This window comes from Homo sapiens, chromosome 6 (assembly GCF_000001405.40).
Source record: "Homo sapiens chromosome 6, GRCh38.p14 Primary Assembly".
NCBI lineage: Eukaryota > Metazoa > Chordata > Mammalia > Primates > Hominidae > Homo > Homo sapiens.
In genome coordinates, this window is record NC_000006.12 from 30,812,270 (window position 1) to 30,831,542 (window position 19,273).

General features: G+C 47.8%; 1 long non-coding RNA gene across 1 annotated transcript, besides 5 other annotated features; it reads right to left on the reverse strand.

Moving 5' to 3' along the window:
- Positions 1 to 596: 596 nt before the first annotated feature.
- Positions 597 to 18,390, reverse strand: LINC00243 (long intergenic non-protein coding RNA 243). The gene is made up of 2 exons (NR_130726.1): positions 18,246 to 18,390; positions 597 to 2,503 (listed from the first exon to the last, which is right to left on the reverse strand). It is a non-coding gene; the product is annotated as a long intergenic non-protein coding RNA 243 (long non-coding RNA).
- Positions 2,023 to 2,317: an enhancer, noted in NCBI's record as "tiled region #6414; HepG2 Activating DNase unmatched - State 8:EnhW, and K562 Activating DNase unmatched - State 5:Enh". NCBI's record gives its function as "activates a minimal TATA promoter and a strong SV40 promoter by Sharpr-MPRA in HepG2 and K562 cells {active_cell/tissue: HepG2 | K562}" and the evidence as "EXISTENCE:reporter gene assay evidence [ECO:0000049][PMID:27701403]".
- Positions 14,963 to 15,463: an enhancer, noted in NCBI's record as "H3K27ac hESC enhancer chr6:30795009-30795509 (GRCh37/hg19 assembly coordinates)". NCBI's record gives its function as "activates a minimal SCP1, AML or CMV promoter by ChIP-STARR-seq in primed H9 embryonic stem cells {active_cell/tissue: H9 hESC(primed)}" and the evidence as "EXISTENCE:reporter gene assay evidence [ECO:0000049][PMID:30033119]".
- Positions 16,263 to 16,557: an enhancer, noted in NCBI's record as "tiled region #12192; K562 Activating DNase matched - State 5:Enh". NCBI's record gives its function as "activates a minimal TATA promoter and a strong SV40 promoter by Sharpr-MPRA in K562 cells {active_cell/tissue: K562}" and the evidence as "EXISTENCE:reporter gene assay evidence [ECO:0000049][PMID:27701403]".
- Positions 16,263 to 17,336: a biological region, named in NCBI's record as "Sharpr-MPRA regulatory region 12192".
- Positions 16,437 to 17,336: an enhancer, noted in NCBI's record as "H3K27ac-H3K4me1 hESC enhancer chr6:30796483-30797382 (GRCh37/hg19 assembly coordinates)". NCBI's record gives its function as "activates a minimal SCP1, AML or CMV promoter by ChIP-STARR-seq in naive H9 embryonic stem cells {active_cell/tissue: H9 hESC(naive)}" and the evidence as "EXISTENCE:reporter gene assay evidence [ECO:0000049][PMID:30033119]".
- Positions 18,391 to 19,273: the final 883 nt, after the last annotated feature.

Here is a 19,273-nt window from a genome sequence, read left to right on the forward strand (position 1 = left end):
AAGTCCCCTTTACATGACTTAGGCTAACATCTCATTGGCCAGCCCTATGCCACACCACCACTCCTACCTGCATGGCAGTTTGAGGCAAAAAAAAATTTAAAGCATAGAACTTTGCTAAACAAAATAAAATTGGGGTTCTGCTAGAAGAAGGAAGGGACAATGAACACTGGGTCTCTGCAAGGGGGCTGTTGGCTGCACTCCAAATGCCCGCAGCATTATACACGAATCATACATGGAGCTCTTTTTTTTTTTTTTTTTGAGGTGGAGTCTTACTCTGTTGCCCAAGTTGGAGTGCAGTGGTGTGATCTCGGCTCACTGCAAGCTCCACCTCCTGGATTCACACCATTCTCCTGCCTCAGCCTCCCGAGTAGCTGGGACTACAGGCGCCCACCACCCCCGGCTAATTTTTGTATTTTTAGTAGAGACGGGGTTTCACCATGTTAGCTAGGATGGTCTCGATCTCATGACCTTGTGATCCGCCCGCCTCGGCCTCCCAAAGTGCTGGGACCGCAGGCGTGAGCCACCGCGCCCAGCCCTACATGGAGCTCTTTACCCTGGCCTGTGCTTTCCTCTCTATTTACTTTTTTTTTTTTTTTCTTTCCTGAGAGGGAGTCTTGCTCTGTCGCCCAGGCTGGAGTGCAGTGGTGTGATCTTGGCTCACTGCAACCCCTGTCTCCTGGGTTCAAGCGATTCTCCTGCCTCAGCCTCCCATGTAGCTGGGATTGCAGGTGCCTGCCACCACACCCAGCTAATTTTTGTATTTTTAGTAGAGAACAGGGTTTCATCATGTTGGCCAGGCTGGTCTCAAACTCTCTACCTCAAGTGATCTGCTCGTCTTGGCCTCCCAAAGTGCTAGAATTACAGGCGTGAAGCCACCACGCCCGGTTTCCTCTCTATTTACTCTTGTGAGTAACATCAGCTTCTTTGAACTTCACCAAACTTAATTCCTTAATTCCATACTAACTGTTTATTTGTTGAGTTTCCAAGATGCAATTGCATATAATTCCAGGAACTGTGAGTAGTAAGAACCCCCTTATCAGCTGTCCTATTTTTAGATATCATGATTCCTACTGAAACATTCAGTGGCTTAAGCTCTGCCCAGCATGTTCTTGACCCTGTGTGCCTGTGGGGTGTGTGTGTGTGGTGTGTGTGTGTGTGTGTATGTGCACACAGTCATGTGCACTCTCACATCACATAAGGGGAAGATAAAGGGAGACTCTCCGTGGCTCTTCCTCCTTTTTTCCAAGGCTGATGTTGGCCCTTTCTGAAAATGCTTTAATGTGTAGAAAGCAGCCCACAGATAGGCACTCCCTGTGATAAAGCAGTCACAGCCAGAGCAGGGTCCCTCCCACCTCAGCCTCCTAAGTAGCTGAGACTACAGGTGTACCACCACGCTTAGGTAAGTTTAAAAAAAAAAGTTTTGTAGAGATGGGGGTCTTACTATGTTGCCCAGGCCGATCTCAAACTCCTGGCCTCAAGTGATCCTCCCACCTTGGCCTCTCAAAGTGCTGGGATTACAGATACGAGCCACCACACCTAGCTGAGAATTTCTTTATGGCCATCTTCTGGACAAAAAGTCAAGGAGAGTTTAGAGTAATAATTCCAGTTTTTATGGCTTTTGCTTCGGGGAAAAAGGGTTCTAGTTTCTAGGACCTACCGTGGGGAAGAGGATTCTGGTTTCTATGACTCACTTCAGGGGAGAACGAGGGACGAGAGAGACAGGAGGGCAGGAGCAGGTCAGAGGGACCTTGGATCTGAGGCTGCTTCTGAGGCCTTCCAATGTCCTTTAGTTAAGTACTCATCGCCATACTTTGGGGTATTGTGTTCTGAACCCCAACAGAAACAACTCACTCTCTCGGCATCAGCCTTGTGCCTATACCCACAGGAGCAGGAGCACAAGCCATTGCAGGTGCGGGCTCCTCAGATGGAGCAACTCCAATGTCACCTGCTCCTCACCTGTACCCAGTGGACTTTTTTGGCAGCCTCCCCCATCTTCTCGTGTGGCTCCATATCTTTATATCTTCTGTGGCAGACGTAGCCTGCTGCCTCCCCAAACTCTATCGTCCTCTTCTCCTTCAACCATGGAAACTTGATTTTGTCTGTGGCATCCATGTGCCTCTTTGAAACACTCACCTCCTCAGACTGCCTTGAATCCAGGGGTGGCCACATGACTGGGTAATGAGTCACCGGTAGAAGTCGGCTTGATGGGGCTTTTAGGGAAACAACGGCTTTCCTGTTTTTGTTTTTCTTCTTCTTCTTTTTAAATTTTCTCCTGCTACCCCTCCCCTTGTTTGTTTTTAAGATGGATTTGTTCGGAACACATCTTTTGCTCTTTCCTTCTCCTTTCTGCCTGGAATGTAAATGTGATGTCTGAAGGCAGAGCAACCATCTTGCACATGTGACATAGAAAGGTAGATGTGAAGACATCTAGCAGGAGATTGCATCTCTGGTGATTGGAGCAGCTGTATCAGCTCTGGACTGCCTGCTCAAGTCTTCTTCATAACTGGGAAAAATAAACACCTATGAAGTTAGGCCATTGTATTGAGTTTTTGTTACTCAAGAACCAAACACAATATTTATTGAGATGGCATTTCACTCTTATTGCCCAGGCTTGTGTGTGGTGGCCTGACCTCAGCTCACTACAACCTCTACCCCCCATCCAGCCCTGCTCCAGGTTCAAGCGATTCTCCTGCCTCAGCCTCCTGAGTAGCTGAGATTACAGGCGCCCACCACATCTGGCTAATTTTTTTGTATTTTTAGTGGAGACGGGGTTTCACAATGTTGGCTAGGCTGGTCTTGAACTCCTGACCTCAGGTGATCCACCCTCCTCAGCCTCTCAAAGTGCTGGAATTACAAAGGTGAGCCACGGCACCCGGCCTTTTTTTTTTTTTGAGACAGTCTCGCTCTGTTGCCAGGCTGGGATGCAGTGTGGTGTGATCTTAGCTTGTGTCCGGAATTGGTGGGTTCTTGGTCTCACTGACTTCAAGAATGAAGCCACGGACCCTCACGGTGAGTGTTATAGCTCTTAAGGTGGCATGTCTGGAGTTTGTTCTTTCTGATGTTCAGATGTGTTCGGAGTTTCTTCCTTCTGGTGGGTTTGTGGTCTTACTGGCTTCAGGAATGAAGCTGCAGACCTTTGCAGTGAGTGTTACAGCTCACAAAAGCAATGTAGACTCAAAGACTGAGCAGTAGCAAGATTTATTGCAAAGAGCAAAAGAACAAAGCTTACACACTGTGGAAGGGGACCGGAGCAAGTTGCCACTGTTGGCTGGGGCAGCCTGCTTTTATTCTCTTATCTGGCCACACCCACATCCTGCTGATTGGTAGAGCCGAGTGGCCTGTTTTGACAGGGTGCTGATTGGTGCGTTTACAATCCCTGAGCTACATACAAAGGTTCTCCACGTCCCCATCAGATTAGTTAGATACAGAGTATGGACACACGGGTTCTCCAAGGCCCCACCAGAGCAGCTAGATACAGAGTGTCGATTGGTGCACTCACAAACCCTGAGCTAGACACAGGGTGCTGATTGGCGTGTTTACAAACCTTGAGTTAGATACAGAGTGCCGATTGGTGTATTTACAATCCCTGAGCTAAATGTAAAGGTTCTCCAAGGCCCCACCAGAGCAGCTAGATACAGAGTGTCGATTGGTGCACTCACAAACCCTGAGCTAGACACAGGGTGCTGATTGGCGTGTTTACAAACCTTGAGTTAGATACAGAGTGCCGATTGGTGTATTTACAATCCCTGAGCTAGACATAAAGGTTCTCCAAGGGCCCACTAGAGCAGCTAGGTAGAGTGTCAATTGGGGCACTCACAAACCCTGAGCTAGACACAGGGTGCTGATTGGTGTGTTTACAAACCTTGAGCTAGATACAGAGTGCCGATTGGTGTATTTACAATCCCTGAGCTAGACATAAAGACTCTCCACGTCCCCACCAGACTCAGGAGCCCAGCTGGCTTCACCCAGTGGATCCAGCACCGGGGCTGCAGGTGGAGCTGCCTGCCAGTCCTGGGCCATGCGCTCACACTCCTTAGCCCTTGGGCGGTCGATGGGACTGGGGGCCCTGGAGCAGGGGGCGGCGCTCGTCGGGGAGGCTTGGGCCGCACAGGAGCCCACGGAGGGGGTGGGAGGCTCAGGCATGGCGGGCTGCAGGTCCCGAGCCCTGCCCCGTGCGAAGGCAGCTAAGGCCTGGCGAGAAATCGAGCGCACCGCCGGTGGGCCGGCACTGCTGGGGGACCTAGTACACCCTCCGCAGCCGCTGGCCCGGGTGCTAAGCCCCTCACTGCCTGGGGCTGGCAGGGCCGGCCGGCTGCTCCGAGTGCGGGGCCCGCCAAGCCCACGCCCACCCGGAACTCCAGCTGGCCCGCAAGCACTGCACGCAGCCCCGGTTCCGCTCGCGCCTCTCCCTCCACACCTCCCTGCAAGCTGAGGGAGCCGGCTCTGGCCTTGGCCAGCCCAGAAAGGGGCTCCCATAGTGCAGCGGTGGGCTGAAGGGCTCCTCAAATGCCGCCAAAGTGGGAGCCCAGGCAGAGGAGGCGCCCAGAGCGAGTGAGAGCTGTGAGGACTGCTAGCAGGCTGTCACCTCTCAAGCTCACTGCAACCTCTGCCTCCCAGGTTCAAGTGATTCTCCTGCCTCAGCCTCCTGAGTAGGTAGGATTACAGGCGTGTGCCACCACACCCGGCTAATTTTTGTACTTTTAGTGGAGACAGGGTTTCACCATGTTCGCCAGGCTGGTCTCAAACTCCTGACTTCAGGTGATTCACCCACCTTGGCCTCCCAAAATGCTGGGATTACAGGCATCAGCCACTGCTCCTGGCCTCTGTGTAGTTTTGTTTGGAGCTGCAGTAAATAGTGTCTAATCTTTTCCTTCCTTACAGGCTATTTCTCCATATTGCTTCCCAGATACAAAATTCATAAATGTATACAAGCCATACCCATGTTACCCACTCCCTCAGGCCCTGCCAAGGCCTTGAGAAACTAGACTCAGACTGTGTCTCCATGTAGGGGGATTGCACATAGCATCTTTGAACTTCAGTTTCTCTTTCTGTAAAATGGGGAATTTTGACTACTTAGCATGCGTCATGTGTTAAAACCCTAACCTCGTTAGCAATTATAACCACTATCAGTATCCCATACTCTGGTTTTTTTAGGGCTTTCCCAAGGCAAATGGGAAGATTTGCTGCCAAGCTCACTTCGGGAGGTCACCAGGCCCAGAACATTCTTGTCCTCACAAATTTTCACTTCCTTCATTTAAGAACAAGGACTAGAGTGTTCTCACTTAATTACAACTGGGATAGGTGGGAGGGAGTTACCCATGTGGGCAACATTAGGGAAACTTTTTCTTTGAGACAGGGTCTTGCTCTGTTGCCCAGGCTGGAGTACAGTGGTGTGATCATGGCTCACTGCAGCCTCGACTTCCTGGGCTCAAGCAATCCTCCTGTCTTAGCCTCCTAAGTTCTGACAGCCCTTAGGGACTACAGGCGCACACCACCACACCCCATTCATTTTTGCATTTCTTGTGGAGATGCGTTTTTTCCATGTTTCTCAGGCTGGTCTTGAATTCCTGGGCTCAAGAGATCCTTAGGGAAACATTCTACCAAACCAGAAGTGATGGATCAACTCCCAGCAAGCCTTTAGTGGGCATTGTTCTTTTCAGGGAGCTGGATAGAAGAGGGGTCTCGGAGCCACAACACCCGTGCTGCCCATGATGGTAGAAAAGGGAAGTCTAAAAAGAGTTTGGGTCTGAACTGGGGCCTAGGAAAAGTTAATGGGGCAGTGATTTTGGCCTTTTCTACCCACCTCCTTGTAATAATATTATTTTAACAATCTGGCTGGGTATGTGGCTCATACCTATAATCCCAGCACTTTGGGAGGCCAAGGTGAATGGATCACCTGAGGTCAGGAGTTCAAGACCAGACTGGCCAACATGGTGAAACCCTGTCTCTACTAAAAATACAAAAATCATTCGGCCGAGGTGGTGGTTGCCTGTAATCCAAGCTACTCGGGAGGCTGAGGCAGGAGAATCGCTTGAACCTGGGAGGCGGAGGTTGCAGTGAGCTGAGATTGCGCCACTACCCTCCAGCCTGGGTGACAGAGGGAGACTCCTTCTCCAAAGAAAAAACCTAACCGCCCCCCCCAAAAAAAACCAATCAAACAAAAAACCAATCTTACCCCCATGACGTTGCCTCTCTCTAGCCTCCCAGGGTATTTCTGTAGTCTCAATATTTGGCCTTAGCTATAAGAAAATTTCCTTACCATTACTCTTTATTGTGCAATTCTCTGAAGATATTCTTCTGATGGCATTCTTTCCTCTCCATTCCTTGTGTGTCATCATTATTTCTTGCTTATTCCTGTCTTGTGCTTACTTCCTGAAATCTGATCTATCCTTTAGGCCTATCTCAGAAGCCTTTATGAAGCCAGCCTGCACGGAGACACTTTCCTTCTCTGGAACCCATGGCACTTAGCTGCTATGGCTTTTGTGCTCATCAGCAAACTGGAATGCGCTTCCATTAGACTTATCCTTTCACCTTAGATTCCTTAAGGCAGGAACTGTCCTGTACTTAGCCTTGCTCTTGTCATGTTGTATTTACTTGATAATTATTCCTTGAATTTAACTGGAAATTCCGGTTTGGAAGGAGAGGACATATATACACGAAGCATGGTATATTTAAATAAACTGGAGTTAATTTTCCTTCAGAAATACCTCCTATTTAAGCCTTTGCCACACAGGTATAGGCCTGGAAATAAAAGGTGTGGCTAAAAGCTACCTGCTCAGAGAACTCTTTTTTTGTTGTTGTTGTTTTGAGATGGAGTCTCGCTCTGTCGCTAGGCCGGAGTGCAGTGGCGCAATCTTGGCTCACTGCAACCTCCGTCTCCCGGGTTCAAGCGATTCTCCTGCCTCAGCCTCCCGAGTAGCTGGGACTACAGACATGCGCCACCACGCCCGGCTAAATTTTTGTGTTTTAATAGAGACGGGGTTTCACCCTGTTGGCCAGGCTGGTCTCAATCTCCTGACCTCGTGATCCGCCCGCCTCGGCCTCCCAAAGTACTGGGATTACAGGCGTGAGCCACCGTGCCCAGCCCAGATAACTCTTTTCTTCAGATTTTCTTTACAGATTCTTCAAGCTGTAAAATAAATGAATACCATCTCTCATCACCTATACCTAGGAAGTGCTGAGTAACTCTTTCCTGTGGACCCACTGAGTCAGAGGTTCACATCTGGTTGGGCAAGTAGTGGGTGTGATCAGTGATGAATATTCTTTGGTTTCAGCACCAGCATCAGCTATTTATATGTCAGTGATGCAAATCTCCATATGCAGAGTCCTTGATACTGTTCGGAGTGCTTCCATACCCATGCCCAAACTGGACCCAGCGGGGGTGGCTGCCGAGAAAAGAAACTTGACAGAGCAGGTTCAAAGGGTCCCTGGTTTCTTGCACTGGAAGAATTAGGGTGGGAACACAGTGGGAGAAGAGAGGTGGAATGTCACAGTTCTGACAGCCCTTAGCATGGAGATAGCCAGCAGCCAATTAGATATGGGAATCGGAAGCCTAGCAGAGAGGATAGCTGGAGAGTACATTTCAAAGTCACTGCCATATAAACAGGAATTAAAACCCTGATAGTGGGTGGGATCGCCTGGGAGAGTACGGAGGAAGAGGAGGATGGATTCAGAATGGAGTCCCAGTGCTTGGGTAGTGCATGGAGGACAGGACCCCTGAACAGGCCGGCAAAGTGTGGGTAGAGAGGTCAAGGAGAGAGAGGAGAAGTTACTGTAGAAATCGATAACTTCAACAAATGAGAGAGAGGTCAGCTGTAAGGTAAGAACCAAGAAGGGCCCACTGGATTTGGCGTGGAGCAAAGGGATGGAGTGAGTGGAGTAAAAGCGAAGATGGAAGGTGGATTTCAGTGGTGCCAGAGGGGAATGGTAGTAAGGAGAGCGTAGTGGACATGGAGATGTGCTGCTCAGATCTCCCCCAAGGAAGGACTTGTTGCCCAGCTATGGGAGAGCAGTCAGCAGACAGCCTCCAGCCATCAGCTCCTTCAGGGTCCCCTGGCTGCAAAGAGCTGCCTGGTCCCTCTTCCTGGTCACACCCTTTCTCCTGGCAGCTCCATGTGGTGACTAAGCAGGGCTGGATATAAATGTCTGGCTCTTTCAGTTCAACTTGCTTTGCTTTGATAGACAATACTGCCCCAAGCTCTCTGCAGAGTTATGAGAGGTGTGGTTGGGCCTGCAGCTCAGTTTAACTTCTCCCTCTGCCCACTCCTGCTTCCTTGCCCTTATTCACAGGTGTTAATACCTAATTAACATCTTGCATCCCAACTTTATCTCAGTATCTGTTTCCAGAGAACATGGTCTCCAACAGAATCATGGGAACAAGTCTTCTGAAGAGTTTGAGAGCAGGAGTCGAGGGACGGGAAGGAGGTGTTAAAAAATTAGTAGGGAATGGTGACACGCCTATAGTCCTAGCTATTGGGAGGCTAAGGTGAAAGGATCACTTGAGCTTAGGGGTGACTATACTCAGCTCTTCTCGGGGCTCACGAAACACTTTACAAAACATCTTTCTGTATCTCATTTGAGGGTTTTTGCCTACAGTCATTGCCAAGGCCACTTATCTGTAGTTTTCTTTTCTTTTTTATTTTTGAGACAGAGTCTCGCTTTGTCACCCAGGCTGGAGTACAGTGGCCTGATCTTGGCTCACTGCAAGCCTTGACTTCCTGGGCTCAAGTGATCCTCCTGCCTCAGTCCCCCAAGTAGCTGGGACTACAGGTGTGCACCACCACACCTGGCTAATTTTTTTTTTTTTCTTGAGATGGAGTTTTTGCTCTTGTTGCCCAGGCTGGAGTGTGATGGCACGATCTCGGCTCACTGCAGACTCCACCATCCAGGTTCAAGCAATTCTCCTGCCTCAGCCTCCCGAGTAGCTGGGATTACAGGCATGCGCCACCACACCTGGCTAATTTTGTATTTTTAGTAGAGACAGGGTTTCTCCATGTTGGTCAGGCTGGTCTCGAACTGCTGACCTCAGGTGATATGCCTGCCGCGGCCTCCCAAAGTGTTGGGATTACAGGCGTGAGCCACCGTGCCCAGCTAATTTTTGTATTTTTTGTAGAGATGGGGTTTTGCCCAGGCTCATCTCAAACTCCTGAACTCAAGTAATCCACCTGCCTCAGCCTCCCAAAGTGCTAGGATTACAGGCGTGAGCCCCCACACCTGGCCTGATCTGTGCTTTTCAACATTCATCTTTTTTTCCATCTTTGGGAATCAGAGCCACACAATCTCCAACTTCTAATACCTTTCTGCCTCTTTGTGATTTCTCAGAGATCGTTGATAGTGACTTGGAGATACTCTCAGTTAATTTTTATTTTGGTACTTAGGAATGTAATCCATTCAGACCAGGAGGTTTGAACACATTTGGAGCAGCTACTCTTGCTGTTATTATTATTTTTTTCAGGTGTTATGGTGATTCCCACTTAGCAGTGGCCGTTCTGCTGTTTCCTAGTCAAATTCCATGCTGCTTACTGATAAGCTGGGGGCACTGGCTTCTGCTCTTGCTCTTTCTTCTGGAAACATTATTCTGTTCCTTTGGACATGGGCAAGGGTCCTGTCCCTAACTTGTCCTTCTTTTTCTTTTGATCTTAACCAGTTTCACTTGTACCAAGACCAAACTTTCTTACCTTTCCATGCAGGGAAACAGGCACCATCAAGATCAATGCCCTGGTACTCCTTATGTAGTGAGTGATAGATGCTCACGGAAAATGGGGAGAAAACTAAGGGGTGAAAGGGAATAACTCTAAAAAGGACACGTTCACACTTTCTGACAGCATAGTTGCATGTTTTCAATTTATTTTGGCCACCAGATGGCATAACTGGGCTCATTAAGATAAACAAAGAGAATGGCTACTACTCTGAAAAAACAAAAAAAAAAACTCTAGATAATTAATGGTGAAAATGCCCCTGAGAAAGCTCATTTCTAATTCTTACTCCTAGCTGGCTTTTTATACACAGGCAGGGGAGACCCATCTTTGGAATTTTAAGGTTCAAAAAGGAATTTGTCTGTACCTGATGGCCAGAAAACCACACTGAAATCGTCAACTGGCATTTAGAATTGTCTGTTCTAAGAGTTAGAAATGAGCGTGTCTCTACCTGCTTCTAGCACACACCTTCCTTTGAGGTAAACTCCTTACTGTTGAGCCCTTGAATCTCGGAGTGGATGAAGAGGGTGATGAGGGATTGTAGCTAATATTAGCATTGTTGAGCTAAAATACCATCATATTTTGTCAGGAGAAGTGCTGACTGTCCTGTGGAATCTGAGGATGAGTGGCATTGGTCCCTAAGGATTAGCTTGTCCCTTTCGGTTACTTTTGAATATGATTTGGAACTTGTGGGGTTTGGGTTATGACAAGAAGGGAACTGAGAAAGTAAAAACATTCATTGCTTGTTTTGTGCTTCTACATATTTTTGACTCTGGGAGATTTTAAAGGTCTATTTCTAATATTTGTTCTAGGTGCATAGATTTGTTTATTCAACAAGCATTCCAGGCACCATATAGGGGCTGGGAAGAAAGAGTAAATAAGGCAGAGTTCCAACTTTCAAAGAGCTTTCTAATCTTGGTTTTTAGTCCCACAGGGGCAAGATGGGAATGCCATGAGAGGCTCTTTGATTGTGGCCCAAGGGAACACTCAGTGCCTAGATGTGTGAAGTGGGATGCAGCTCCTGGTGAAGGCAGAAGTCCTTTAAAAGTTTATTGACTGCAAAGAATAAACCAAAATGGGCCGGGTGCAGTGGTTCACGCCTGTAATCACAGCACTTTGAGAGGCCAAGGCAGGCGGTTCATGAGGTCAGGAGTTCAAGACCAGCCTGGTCAACATGGTGAAACCCCGTCTCTACTAAAAATACAAAAATTAGCTGGGCATGGTGGCGGGTGCCTGTAATCCCAGCTACTTGGGAGGCTGAGGCAGGAGAATCGCTTGAACTCGGGAGGCAGAGGTTGCAGCGAGCCGAGATGGCACCACTGCACTCCAGCCTGAGTGACAGAGTAAGACTCCATCTCAAAAAAAAAAAAGAATAAACCAAAATGACAAAGCTTCTTGATAACATCCCAGCCCATTTCTTCTTCTTCTTCTTTCACTTCTCCTTCTCCTTCTTCTTCTTCTTCCTCTTCCCCTTCTTCTTCTTCTCCTCCTTCTCCTTCTTTTTTTTTGGAGATGGAGTCTTGCTCTCTTGCCCAGGCTGGAGTGCAGTGGTGTGAGCCACCCCGCCCAGCCATCCCAGCCCATTTCTTATACAAGAAACATTGAGGGTTTACTAAAGAAAGAAAGAGACAGTAGAATAATGGGAACCACGTTGCAAAAATGTAAATCGCTCACTGGTGACTGCCAGGATTTTGATGATCTAATAAAATGACTGGCATATGAGGTGGGGAAAATGTACCCTCCTGTGATCAGCCAGAGGTTTCAGCAGCAGTGGAAGATGCATACCAGAAGGCGGTGCAAAGGGGGATTAGAGAGGATCTAAACTGGTATCAGGGATTGGGTGTGGTGGCTCACATCTGTTATCCCAGCACTTTGGGAGGCCAACATGCGAGAATTGCTTGAGCCAGGAGTTTGAGACCAGCCTAGGCAACATAGTGAGACCTCATCTCTGCAAAAGTTTTAAACAATTAGCCAGACATGGTGGTGCATGCCTGTAGTCCCAGCTACTCAGGAGGTTGAGGTGGGAGGATCACTCAAGCCCAGGAGACGGAAGCTGCAGTGACCCATAATCACGCCACTGCATACCAGCCTGGGCAGCAGAGCAAGATCCTGTCTCAAAAAAGAAAAAAAAACACAAAAACTGGTGTCGGGAAAAGTAGTTGGGAAGCTATGGAAATTGCTCCAGTGAGAGGTGATGAACATCTGAATTAGTGGCAGGAGTCTCTCTGAACCTATTCAGTTTCAGGGGATTGCTTGATTTAAAAAAAAAAAAAAGACAAATTAGCCGGGCGTGGTGGTGGATGCCTGTAATCCCAACTACTTGGGAGGCTGAGGCAGGAGAATCACTTGAACCCGGGAAGCGGAGGTTGCAGTGAGCCAAGATGGCACCATTGCACTCCAGGCTGGGTGACAGTGCGAGACTCCATCTCGAAAAAAAAAAAAAAAAAAGGCAGTGGTTAAGGGACTGAGTGGGGACAGATGGGAGATGGATTTTAGGGTAGGAAGGGTGGATGTAAGTGTGAAGGAGAGGAAGAATGACTCTGGAGAGAACACCAGCTCCAGTGGCCTGACCCTAAGTCCTGTGTGCTTTCTCGCATATTGTGCTGCCTCGTCATATAACGAAGATTCCACTTTAGTCCAACTCTTCCATTTTACAGTGAAAGGAGAAGATTAAAACCCAGAAAATGGAAACCCTCATTTATGTTAAAGCTGAGAAATCAAGTGTCCCTTCCCTGATCCAATCCTCTTCCGCAGGTTCATGACAGGGTGCACATTAGAACTACCTGCAGAGCCTTCCAAGCGGCACGTGCCTGGCCCATCCCTAGATCCAGTGAACCAGAATCCCTGGGCTGGGACCACTGGCTCATTCCAGACAGTGCACAAGCATCTCTTCCTGGTGCAACCTTCCATAGCACGTTCCGCTTGGATCACTTTCTCTTTCTCTGTTTTATAATTGTCCATTACATACAGCCACTGATAACTGAAAAGGCTCGCAGTGTTTGGATGAGGAACCATATGCAAACAAATACCACAGTTCTTCCTTATAGACCCACTTAACTGATTTGCAAACATCTCACTGAAACCGCAGGGGAGAGGTTTTAGAAGGCTATGCTCCAGTAAGGAAAAATTAATGGAAGTAATTGTTCAGTAAGCAGTTACCAATCTAAGTTTTATAAAATTGATACTCTCTTTATGAGTGTATTTTAGTAAAAATAGGGAATAGCTTTTTTTTTTTTGAGACGGAGTCTCGCTTTGTCACCCAGGCTGGAGTGCAATGGCGCCATCTCGGCTCACTGCAACCTCTGCCTCCCAGGTTCAAGCGATTCTCCTGCCTCAGCCTCCGATTACAGGCGCCCGCCACCATGCCTTGCTAATTTTTGTATTTTATAGTAGAGACGGGGTTTTGCCATGTTGGCCAGGCTGGTCTCGAACTCCTGACCTCAAGTGATCTGCCTGCCTTGGCCTCCCAGAGTGCTGGGATTAGAGGCGTGAGCCACCGTGCCTGGCTGGGAATAGTTTTAAAACATAAAAAACGCAAAAGTTTTAAAAAACATGGGTTTTCTAAAGATTTCAGTATTCCCTATCCCTAACTTTTCATAAAGTCCTGAGTTTCTTAATCACAATGTTTTCATCCAAGGAGGCTTTTAGGAACAGGACCCCAGGGTTAGGGCAGGAATACACTATTGTTATTTTAACAGTCTATCAACTAGAAAGGCAAAAAAAAAATTAGATTTTTTTCAATATTAATGAAGTTGAATTGTTCGTTGATAATTGTTAATTAGTTATGGTGTTTCTGTTATAAATTGTCTGTGTCTGAATTTCTCACACAGTACAATATAAAATACAAATAGCTGTGGGGTATTTTCTAGGTGCTGGTTACTGTTCTAAGAGCTTTAAATGGAGTAATTCAGTTAATCCTGCCTCACGGTACAATAATTAGTCTCGTATGACGGAGGAAATAGAAGCCTGGAGAGGTCAAGTAACTTGCCCAAAGTCATACCCAGAAAGGCTGGATTCAGAGACTGTTGCCAACATTTTCCTTATTTATTTGCATTCCATTTTTTTCTATTAAATATAAAAATTAGCCAGGCGCAGTGGCTCACACCTGTAATCCCAGCACATTGGGAGGCCGAGGAGGGTGGATCACTTGAGGTCAGGAGTTCAAGACCAGCCTGGCCAACATAGTGAAACCCTGTCTCTACTAAAAATACAAAAAATCAGCTGGACATGATGGCCTGTGCCTGTAGTTCCAGGTACTCAGGAACTCGAGAGGCTGAGGCAGGAGAATCGCTTGAATGTGGGAGGTGGAGTTTGCAGTGAGCCAAGATTGTGCCATTGCACTCCAGCCTGGGTGACAGAGCGAGACTTTGTCTCAAAAGAAAAAAAAAAAAATTTAAAAACTTTTTGTAGTTAAATCTATGCATATATTCCTTTCTTTTGTTGGCCTATTGTTTCAGTTAATTTGTTTTTTTACTTTTTTCCCATGTTTTACTTATTACTTTCATATTTCTTGTATGATATTTATCTTAAAATCTAGTTTTATTTTTCTTTAAGAGACTGGGAGTCTTGCTATGTTTCTCAGGCGGGTCTCGAATTTCTGGGCATAAGCGATCTTCCTGCCTCAGCCTCTCAAGTAGCTGGGAATTACGCCACCAACACACCTGGCTTCTTTCAGCTAATTTAGAACATCCTACCCTTTTCAGAGATTAAAAAATATTTAGATTTGCTCAGGATATGTTAGATGAAGTGAGGATTTACATCTACTATATGTATTTTCCCAAATATTAATAATTATTTCTCCTGAACCATTTATTGCATAATATTTTTCTGTTCCATTGTTATATGACAGCACGTTTCTGCCTGGTTGTAATCTCATAGTGGCTTGATTTTTAAGTGAACATTATATGTTTAACTGCCTCCTTGAGGATACTGAAGACTCTTTCCAATGATTATATTCTTTTCACTTCACCTGTCATGCATCAAGTGTTGATGTTGCTGGCTGCCTTTCTCAGTGTTAGTTTTTATGTGTTTTGGAATTTCAGCTTCCAGGTTCATTTCCAGGCTTTCTCTGTCTCCCTTCTCTTGTTCCTCACTCCTCCCTGCCTAGTGGCTGTGCAGTTGCCCTTCCCAGGGGCCAGTGTTCAGGACTAGGTCTTATATGGCAGTCGGGGCTCCTGCCCTGGGATAACCCTGGGAATGACTCACATCCAGCCCCATGGCTGTGGGTGGCTCAGTTAAGCCCAGGTGTGGTGCCGTTTGGTAACCACGGGCCTCCCTAGGCCACAGTCCCAGGCGAAGTTAGTAGCAAGCTATTTCAGTCTTCTTGAAGAGGGTGGAAGTGTGGGCAAGAGGGGAATCTGAGTCCCTAATATTTTCACAGTGACCATGACACTGGTCCCCCACCTCAGTGGGCAATTTAATTCTATCTCACCACTCAGTACTCAACAGGACTTGACTTCCCAGCTGCCTTTAACTGTACCCTGAGTCAGAACCCAACAGGCCACAGCTGTAGCCCTGTTCATCTTTTGCATTTATATTCAGTTTCTGGGAATATCTTTGGGGATATTCTCCCTTTGTGGAGCATTGCTTTTTAATTTTCTCTAATATTATATCTATCATTGCTCTGTATTGAAAGCCCCTGGGCTAGCCTGTTTCACTTGTGTCTATTTTTTAGAAGCATTTACTGTAGCTTTATACTACATATTTGGGGATCACTAACAATTTTTTCCGGTCACACTCTAATCACTTTCTCAAGGCTGGATCAGGTGCGAGACTCTGTAGCAGTAACCTGAAGTTGAGAATTGAGGAAGTAGTGCTGCTATGAGAGGAGACCTGCGGTGGCATCCCTAGGATGGGGTGCTGGTGGGGGGTGGGTGGCAAGGGGGAAAGGGGGTTTCTGCCTAAGGGAGTTTCTGCTCCATGCCAGCACTTCATCAGAGGTCTTGAGCCAGGGTGGAATCCAGCTCCAGGGAGCATATGAGAGCAAACAATGGAAGCTTGACATGATCACTGGATGAACATCTGAAGTTTCATATGTGATGGGATCTCCCCAGAAAACAATAGTGCACATCACAGCCAGGAGGCACCCAGAGCATTGTGTTGCTGTGTTTTTTGAACCCAGTGAGTTAACTGTCCAGTGTTCCACATCATTCTGACCTGGGTCAACAGATGGAGGCAGGGCACACTCTTGGCTGTAGCTCGATCCGCCTCTCCTGCTGCAGCAGGACATTTCTCAGTAGCACAGGCAAGGTGCTCCGGGCAGGGGACTGCATAGTAAGTGGTGCCTCCTTTGCAATATAAGCCAAACAAGGCTTCCTGCTGGAGCGCCTCTTGGCTAATTCAGGGGCATGAGAGGCAGCATCTAACCTTGCCCAGGGGCCCTGGCTCCCCTTTACTATGGGGGGTGGCCTGTGATCAGGCCCAGTGGGACTGAGGAGCAAATGTGGACAGTCTTCCCCGGCACACATCGGCTGACCTGCATGCCCAGACTGTCTCCTGGGGCGCCTGTACAAGTTGGTCCTAGAATCCAATTCTTCCTGGAACTGGGTGTCATTTCAGGACAGAGAATACCGGGAGTCATAAATTGGCCCTGAAGCAAACGAAAGTCTTCCAATCCTGCATGACATAGCAGATTGTTTTGCTTGGGGCTTTGGCTTGGTCTGGGGCGTGCAGTTCCATGGGGGAACCTCTGGCAATCCCACCAGGGGGAGCCCTTTCCCCATCTTGGGGCTGTGGATCTCAGCTTTCCAGAATATTTGTGTGCATGTGAGTGAGCACATCTGACTTAATTTTTATATTCAGTATAGAATCATGACTCAGCTTTCCCTGTTAATGTAGTCAACTTAAGCTACTGCCATGGTTCAGGTTCCATCATGCTTCAAATATAGTTTATGACTGTAGTTACGTAGTGTGGCAGCAACACAGGGCAACTTGGGGCTGGGGAGAAGTGAGCGTGTCTTTCCCTCCCCAAATGCAGTCATTTAGCATCTTCCTCTTTCAGAGTCCTGTATCCCAGCGATGGGGATCAAGATTCAGACTTAAGGACACCCTACCTGGACCTTGGCAAGGAGATTTTTACAGTGGGAATCTGGTCCAGCCTCTCTCTGGCCCCAGGCCTCTACTGTCCACCTTTTACAAATGCCACATGGTAAGGAGTCAACTGAGCTACCTTCCAAGGAGCTGGATTGGTCTCCTGGCTCTGCCTGACCTTCCTCAGCCCCTCCGCAACCCCCACCTGCTCGCTTCTCCTTCACCTCCTCTCCTGTTCACCTGTACCTTCTTTCCTTAGATGTGGCCACACTCTGTTCCCCCAGGCAGCGTCTTCACTGAGTAGTCTTTGAACCATTAACCACCTGCAGCCCTATCCATGTTCTCTAGGGCACCTGCAAGAGGAGGAAGGGGAATTTGCTGATAGCCACAGCTGTGCATCCTACTGGAGGTGCCTTCCGGAGGGCAGCATAGTTAATCTAGACACCCAGCATTCTCAGTCCACTTCCATGGCCTTCTCTTCCCATTGCCTGGGTCTCAAAAGGCCCAGGACAATCTCATGAGGTGGACCGAGCAGTATTTGGGGAGGGAGGATAGAAAAGAGACTGGGATATCTTTAATTAATAGATACTATTAAAACCTCCTCCCCAGCAGCAGTAGTAGGGATCGTTAGTGGCAGCAAATCCATAGGGGTCTGCAGCAACCTCAATTCTTGCCTCTTTGGTCACTTACTGGGATCTTATTGGGAAACTGCTGATCACCAGTTTCAGATGTTTCTATTGGGAGACTGCCTGTCTCTGGTGCCAGCTGTGACCAATTATTTTAGAGAGCCCGTTAACAACTGCCTGACCCTCACCTGATGTTTGCCTGACATTCCTGTGGGTGTGTGTCTGGGGCGCCCTCTCCTGCCCTGCTCATCCCTGACTAGCTACTTACTCTAACAGGATGAGAAGACATACAAAATAGAGGCTACTTTAAAAAAAAAATTCTCAGAGTGTAGTGTGTAAACGTTCACCTCCACTATAAAGACCTCCTTGCCAGGGGTAGGAAGCCTTTAGTCTGAACCTTGAGCTCCGTCGCTGGGATACAGGACTCTGAAGAGGAAGACGCTAATGATGACATTGAGTTGACTCCACAGCATCTCACAATTCTTTCTTTTTCTAAGTCATCTGCATTTAGTATCCACTGACCAAGCAGGCAGGAAATGTAATTGAAGTTTTATTAGGGACTCCCCTATCTCTTCTCCTATGGGGTCCAGTGACCATCCCAGGGGTCTGACCCAGCCTAGAACATTCAGAGTCTGGGCCTCTGACCTTCAGACACAGCTGATATGAATGGGAGTCTTTGTGGTTAGTAAGGCCAAGGTTCTTAGCTAGTTTCCTTTGGAATCCCTGACCTCCCTCCATCCCCACTGTTGTGTGTGTGGGGTTCTATGTGGGAGCAGGGCTTCTCCTCACTACTCCAAGGACCCCCAAACCACATCCCTTCCACAGCATCTGGGAATCTCCCCCCACCCCCCACTCCCTTGAGCAGCTTTTGCCTCCTTCAGTCCAGTGTGCTTACCTCTCTCCCCTGGCAGAGAACCCAGGTGCTGGCGGGGTCTCCTCTGGATGCCTTGCCAACTTCTTTTTTTTTCTTTCCAACTTCTTCTCTTGGTGAGGCTACGCAAAATCTTCTGGGGCCAGGATGTGCAAACGCTTCCTGGAATGGGGTAGAACAGTGACAAAACAGGAAGAACAAAAAAACACATGTTAATATCTCAAGAAAGTATCCAGCCACCATAATGAAGGGGCTTCCAGGCTCTGAGGGAAGACCACTGAGCTGAGGGGCCTTTGCACTCTATTCCAGGGAAGATAATGGATGCCCAGAAGAAGTGGGACATTTGGAGCCCCAGACAAACCAATGACACAGACTGAGACACTGTGGAGCTGGATGCCTTTCTGTGTGTTTGTTAGAGTATGAGAAGCCCGCTGGGAACAAGTAAGGGCATCCCTAACCATCAGTGTCCATTGCCCAAGAGAGATGGCAGAAGTGGGTTGGTCCAAATCCTTTCCGTTGTAAATGTGGAGGGCTAACATTTTGAAATATTCTCTGGCCAGGTGCGGTGGCTCACACATGTAATCTCAGGTACTTGGGAGGCTGAGGCAGGAGGATCACTTGAGCCCAGGGGTTCCAGGCTGCAGTGAGCTGCAATTTTGCCACTGTACTCCAACCTGGGTGACAGAGAGAGACCTCATCTCTAGAAAAAAAAAAAAAAACAACTTCTGATTTATTTCATCTGTATCTCTCCCTCCTCCCCTCCCACTCCCCAGCCCTTCTAGCAGTTGGGGTAGGAGGGTGGGCAGTCAGCAGAAAGCAGAGCCAAGCAGCATCTTCTGCCTCATAAATTTCAAACATGAGACCTCATGGGAACTGAAAGGATTTATGACATAGGCCAGGTATTTAGGAGAAATGGACACTAAGAACAACCATCCCCTCACCTTCCAACAGAAAGGGGTTCCCTTGTGCTGGTGGGGCAGAGGGGCCATAATAACAATGTGCACATTTGTGGGTATTAGAGAAAGGGGTCCCTGGGCTGAGTCCTGGGGAGG